General features: G+C 44.7%; 1 long non-coding RNA gene across 1 annotated transcript in view; it reads right to left on the bottom strand.

Moving 5' to 3' along the window:
* Nucleotides 1–2,347: 2,347 nt before the first annotated feature.
* LOC101927845 (uncharacterized) overlaps nt 2,348–6,000 on the bottom strand; it is a 31,965-nt gene continuing 28,312 nt past the window's right edge. Inside the window, exons 2-3 of the long non-coding RNA NR_125427.1 lie at nt 2,967–3,063; nt 2,348–2,650 (exon numbers count right to left, since the gene is read on the bottom strand). This is a non-coding gene — a long non-coding RNA (uncharacterized LOC101927845). The remainder of the gene's footprint in view (nt 2,651–2,966; nt 3,064–6,000) is intronic.

The following is a 6,000-nucleotide window of genomic DNA, read 5'->3' as shown; positions in this document are numbered from 1 at the left end:
TCACAGAAAATCTCTCTCTGAGAGGAATGTAATGTATGTCCCATGGAATTGCCAATATTGCAGCCAATTTCCAAGGAAAATTGCCTCTATCCATCAAAGCAGCCCTGAGCCAATGTGCATTAGTGAGGAAGACCCAGGCCAGACTCTCCGGAGGGTTGTCTCAAAGGCAGTGGGAAGAAAGCCCATCGCTTGAATGAAATAAAATAAGACAAGAAAGGAAGGAAAAGAAGAACCATCCCAAATCAATAAAAGTCTCCCCAGGTAGTCCCTTCGCCACCCAGGACAAAACCAGGGCCAGACACTATCCTACAGTCCAGGCAAGTGGGTTTTTCAGCCACCTTCTCCCAGGTGGGAAACAGGAGTAGTAAGACAGGTCAGGAGTTTAGGAGGCTGCAGGACCATCACTGCATGGGTGGCTACCCCTAAGCAAGTAGACTCTGGGCCAGGCTCCTGCAGGGAGACCAACCAGGCTGCTCTTCCCTCCCCTCTCATCCATCAATTCCAAGCCTGCCCGAGAGGGGTGATGCAGACATCCCTCCAGAGAGATCAATAATGAAGAACACAACCAATAAACACATTCCTCCAGAATCCATTCGGGCATTTCCTCAGGGTTGATAGGATAACCCAGTGGTAGTCTCGAAACAATGAGACTCAGCTGAGAGGGGCACCTGAGCTTCTGTCACTCACAGGATCTTCTGAGCTGTGAGAGCAGTGACTCTGTCCAGCACCGAGCTAACCCCTTTAACACCTGTACCTACCCGTGGAACCTCACGACCACTTACTTACATTTACAAATGACTCAACAGAGGCTCAGAGAGGCTAAGAAAAGTGTCCAAAGTCTCAGGATTTGTGGCTAAGGTTTGAACCCAGATCCCCCAGAACCTTTCCACTCCAATGCTCTGGCTCCTCTCTCTGGGCCTCGGTTTCTTTGTCTGTACAATGGGAAGAACACTGCTTCTGTCACAGGGTTTGCCAAAGATAATTCAGGTCATGAAAGCATCTGGCAGCTGACACAAGGCTTCACACAGTATGAACTCAAAAAAGGAATTGTCTTTCATGCTCATGTCAGGCAACTCAGCCACAGCTTAACACAGACAACTCTGCTTTGGATTAACTCTTCCTCTGCTGGGCCAGATATTGTGCCCTCCCTGAGAGAAGATGGCCCCACACTGACTTCCACATCCCTACTCCTGACACAGTGCTTGGATACGATGGTGCATGATTACTGTTTCTGGGACTGAACTGCATTCACTGGCCTTAGCCTGAATGGGGAAGATGAAGAGATTGAAATATTTTCTGGTGAGGCTTATAACAAGCAATAAACTCTGAGCCTCCTTAAGCCCGGCAGCAAAATGAAAAGATGAAGCCAAAAAGGATCCTGCTCCTCAAAGCAATCAGTGCATTCCAGCACTTGATCTGTTCAGGTAGCTCAGCCACAGTGGAAGACACATTTTCTTTCTTTTCGTTGAGAAAGAGAGCGGCAACTTGGGCCTTGGCTGGAATCAGGAGCCTCTCCGTTTACATGGCTGTTTGGATGGAAAATTTGGATCAAAGCTGCAAGACCCTTGCAGGCTACCTCTTGAGTGAGTTGGGAGCTTAAGTGATCAAATGACTTCCAGGGGTGGATATCCCCAGTTGGCCAATGATGAAAGCCAAGTGCTTCCTGCAGTCACCCAGCAAAACTGCTGGAAAACAAAAAATCGTATTCACTATTCTCATGTGCACAACCTCAGCTTCATTCAGGAAGCACTTACAGAGCTGACTCTTAATACATTCAAGGAACTGAGCTAAGTACTGCAGGGAAACAAGAGGCTGTGATAGTACAGTAGAAAGGGTGTGCACTTGGAACCTAGAGTCTGGGTTTAAATTCTAGCCCTGCCACCTTGCCATAGAATGACCTTAGGTGAGTCACTCCAACCCTGAAGACCTAGTTCCCTCTTTGGCAAAGTGAGTCGGGAAGATTTGGGCAGTCATAGTCAGATATTACATGTCATATGATTCCACTGGAACAGACCATAGACAAATGATATCTGCTCTCAACTCTGCTCTGCAGATCAATCACAATCTTGGAGGCAGCAGGTGAAACCAAGCAGGTTTGCTGGTGCTGATTTTATGTATTCTCATTTCATCAAGAGTTGTGTGGATGACAAAGAAGAACCTCTACCATACAGGATGTTCTTTTCCTAATCAGCTTTCTCTGACCATTTGCCAGCTGCCTCCTCTTCGTTCAGGTTAACTATACCTGGTTCAGGTTAAATACACCTGTCTTAGGTTAACTAAGGAGGCCCTTTTATTCAGAAATATTTAAGAAAATAAAGAAATCATTGAGAATGACAGAAACCAAGCTAGAATGAAACATATACAATTTTAAATCTGGGCTCAAATACAACATACCACTACATTGGGGATTTCAAAATATCAATATACAGAAGAATATTGGCAACATTTTGGAAACAGTTGAGAATGTTCATGGGATTCACTTCAGTGCCTTCTCCCTAGGAGTAGGGAAAGCCTCAGCTATGCAGGAAGATGGGAGATTTTCCTGTCCCTCTCCTGCCCGGCTGCTTTTCTTCATGCATCATGCCATGAACAAGGCAGATTGTTCTCCGAGAGATGGAGTCTTCTCAGAGACAGCATGGCGGTGAGCCAGCTAGGGGTGTTAGAAAGAACATGAGTAGAGAACCCAGACCAGGGTTTAAATCCACATCACATCATCTGAGGTTGTGTGGCTCAACTTGAACCACAGTTATCACATTTATAAAATGAGAATAACCATACCTAATTCATAGGGTGATAGAGATAACTAGGCAACACACTGGTAAAGCACTCAACACATAGAAGCTCCCAATATATGATGACGATTCTTATGATCTCTTAGTGGAGAGTCGGCCAAGCATATGTTAGTCTATTCAGGATGCTATAACAAAAATGCCATAGACTGAGTGGCTTAAACAACAAACATTTACCTCACACTGTTGTGAAGACTGAGGAATCCAAGTTCGAGGTGCTGGCAGACTTGGGGTCTAGTGAGGGCTTCCTGGTTCATAGATGGCCATCTTCTCCCTGTATTCTCACATGGCAAAAAAATAAAAATAAAAATGAGAGTTCTCTCTGGGGTCCTTTTTCCAAGGGTAATAATCCCATTCATAAGGGCTTCATCCTTATGACCTAAGCACCTCCCAGAGGCCCTACCTCCTAATAACATCACATTTGAGGGCAGGATTTCAACATTTGAATTTTGGGGGGACACAAACATTCAGTTCATTGCAAGGGGCTAAGTCTGGTCAGCTTTGCAGAGTCAGAAATCAGATTGTATCATCCCATGGAGAGTTTAAACCACATACCCTGAGGCTGAAACAAATAAAAATGTTAATTTACTCATTTACACTGAGAAATCACTGCTCTGGTGTATTAGTTTCCAACAGCTGCTGTAACAAAACCACAAATTTAGTGGCTTACAACATCACCAGTGTATGATCTTACAGTTCAGCAGATCAGAAGTCTGGCATGGGTCTCATTGTTGGTAGGAAAATTACTTTTGGGGGCTCTAAGGCAGGATCCCTGTTCTTTCTCCTCCAGCTTCTAGGGGCCTCCTGCACTCCCTGGTTCATGGCCCCTTCCTCCGTCTTCAAAGCCAGTAACAGTGGGCTGAATCCTTCTCAGCTTACATCCTTCTAACCTCACTCTTCTTCTGCCTTCCTCTTCCACTTTTAAGGACCCTTGTGATTACCTTGAGCCCACCCAGATAATCTAGAATAACCTCCCTAATTTAAAGTCAGCTGATTAGAAACTATAATCCCATTTGCAACCTTAACTTGCCTTTGCTGTGTAACACAGCATAGTCACAGTTCCCGGGGATGAAGATGTGAACATCTTTGGTTCCACCTACCACACATGAGAACAAGAATACTTGAGTCCATTTCACCACTCCATGATTTCCCCGTAGGCAGGCTTACCCACAGGCTTGGTGAGCATGCAACTGGAGCCTAGGTGGTGTCAGGCTTACACAGTCAATGGTATCTACCTCCACCATGGGCATAACTTGACCAATGGACCCAGAAACCAGTATGACTCCCACCCTGATGAAAGCTGGATAGGGTCCTGGCGATATTTATCATCTGTGACTCCCTTTGCCATCCCTCCAAGTCCGACAAACCACCGCTGACACCACCAGCCAGTGCCAACTTCTGATGGTCCCATTTTCTCTCTTTTTTTTTTTTTTTTTTTTTTTGGAGATGGAGTCTTGCACTGTTGCCCGGGCTGGAGTGCAATGGTGCGATCCCCACTTTCTCTTTAAAGGTTAATCCTAAGTGTTAAGTGGCTGTGTAGTAAATGTGTCCCCTGCCCCCTGCCAAAAATTGATATTTTGAAACTATAATTCTCAGTGTGGTGGTATTTAGAGATGAGGTCTTTGGGCAGTAATTAGGTCATGATGGTGGAGCCCCAGAATGGAATTAGTGCCCTCATAGGAAGAGATAGGAGTTTGCTTCCTCTCTCTGTGCTGTCCACCATGTGAGGACACAGCAAGACGACAGCCGTCAGAAAACCACGAAAAGAGCCCCCAACAGAACTCAATCACACTGACACTCTGATCTAGAACTTCCTAGGCTCCAAAACTGTGAGAAATATTCTCTGTTGTTTAAGCCAGCCAGTCTATGATAATGTGTTATAGCTGCCCTGGCCAATCAAGACAGGTGGCCTGAGTGTCTTCATGCTAAAATCGCTACATTTTGCACCACTCTTTTCTGATCCATTAAGTGTGGAATTTAAAGTTCAACTCTCCATGTGTAGAAGTATGTTTCCCGATTCTTAGGAAACTTCTAACTATGACCCCTAAGTCCTCACAACATCATTGATTCAATCCTGTGCATACTCATGGGAGACTTCTTTGTGTCAAGCACAGTGATATAACAGGGGGTGAATCAGACATGGCCCATCCCTCAAAAACCTCACCCTGCTTTGAGCCACATAGGACTGCACAACACTGATCATATAAGACACACCATACCACAATCTTCAAGAGGGGAGAGACAACTGTAAGCGAGGGTGAGCAGGGAAGAGCCACTAATGCCGTGACGTGGCCATTTCAACACTAATTGAGTCATTTGACTGTGGAAGGCTTTGTACTGTGACCCATTTTTATAATGCCCAGATTTCAATTGTAAGCAATTTTCCCTTAATTTTGAATACTAACTAAAAGGAAAAGAACAAATGGTTTGTTCTTAGGATCATACAATAGGTATGAAACCGTATGCTATATTTTTTCAGTTGCCAAGTTCTTAATTATGTTCTTTATGTTGTGCATAATGATGAGTATCTATTGTGTTTTTTTTTAGGATCACTAGGCAGGTATTATCTTTTATCAGGTACCAACAACAGCTGACATTTACTGAGTGCTTACTTCTTGCTGGGCACTGTGCCTAGCATTTTACATGTCTCTCATCACTCAATCTTCACAACAATGCTATGAGGTTGTGCTGTTATCTTGACTTTGCATATGAGAAAAACGATGCTTACAGAGATTAAAAAAATTTCCCAAGACCACATAGCTGGTCAAGGTTAGAGTCCAAATTTGAACCCAGGGAGTCCAACATCAGAGGCTCTGAACTTACAGACTTTGCAAACTCCATGCATCACTTACCCTTAAATATAGGGTCTTACTAACAAAAGATAAACTGGAATATTAAAAAAAAAGAGAGAGAGGCATGTCAGCAAGGAGGGCTACTTGGAGAAAGCAGTTTAAAGAACAATAAGGCTGGGTGCGGTGGTTCACACCTGTAATCCCAGCACTTTGGGAGGCCTAGGCAGGTGAATCACCTGAGGTCAGAAGTTCAAGACCAGCCTAGCCAACATGGTGAAACCCCGTCTCTACTAAAAATACAAAAATCAGCCGGGGTGGTGGCATTTGCCTGTAATCCCAGCTACTCAGGAGGCTGAGACAGGAGAATCACTTGAACTTGGGAGGTGGAGGGCGCAGTGAGCTGAGATTGTGCCACTGCA

This window comes from Homo sapiens, chromosome 8 (genome assembly GCF_000001405.40).
Source record: "Homo sapiens chromosome 8, GRCh38.p14 Primary Assembly".
Taxonomy (NCBI): domain Eukaryota; kingdom Metazoa; phylum Chordata; class Mammalia; order Primates; family Hominidae; genus Homo; species Homo sapiens.
Note: the sequence above shows the minus strand (reverse complement) of the source record. Positions and strands in the feature narration are given on the sequence as shown.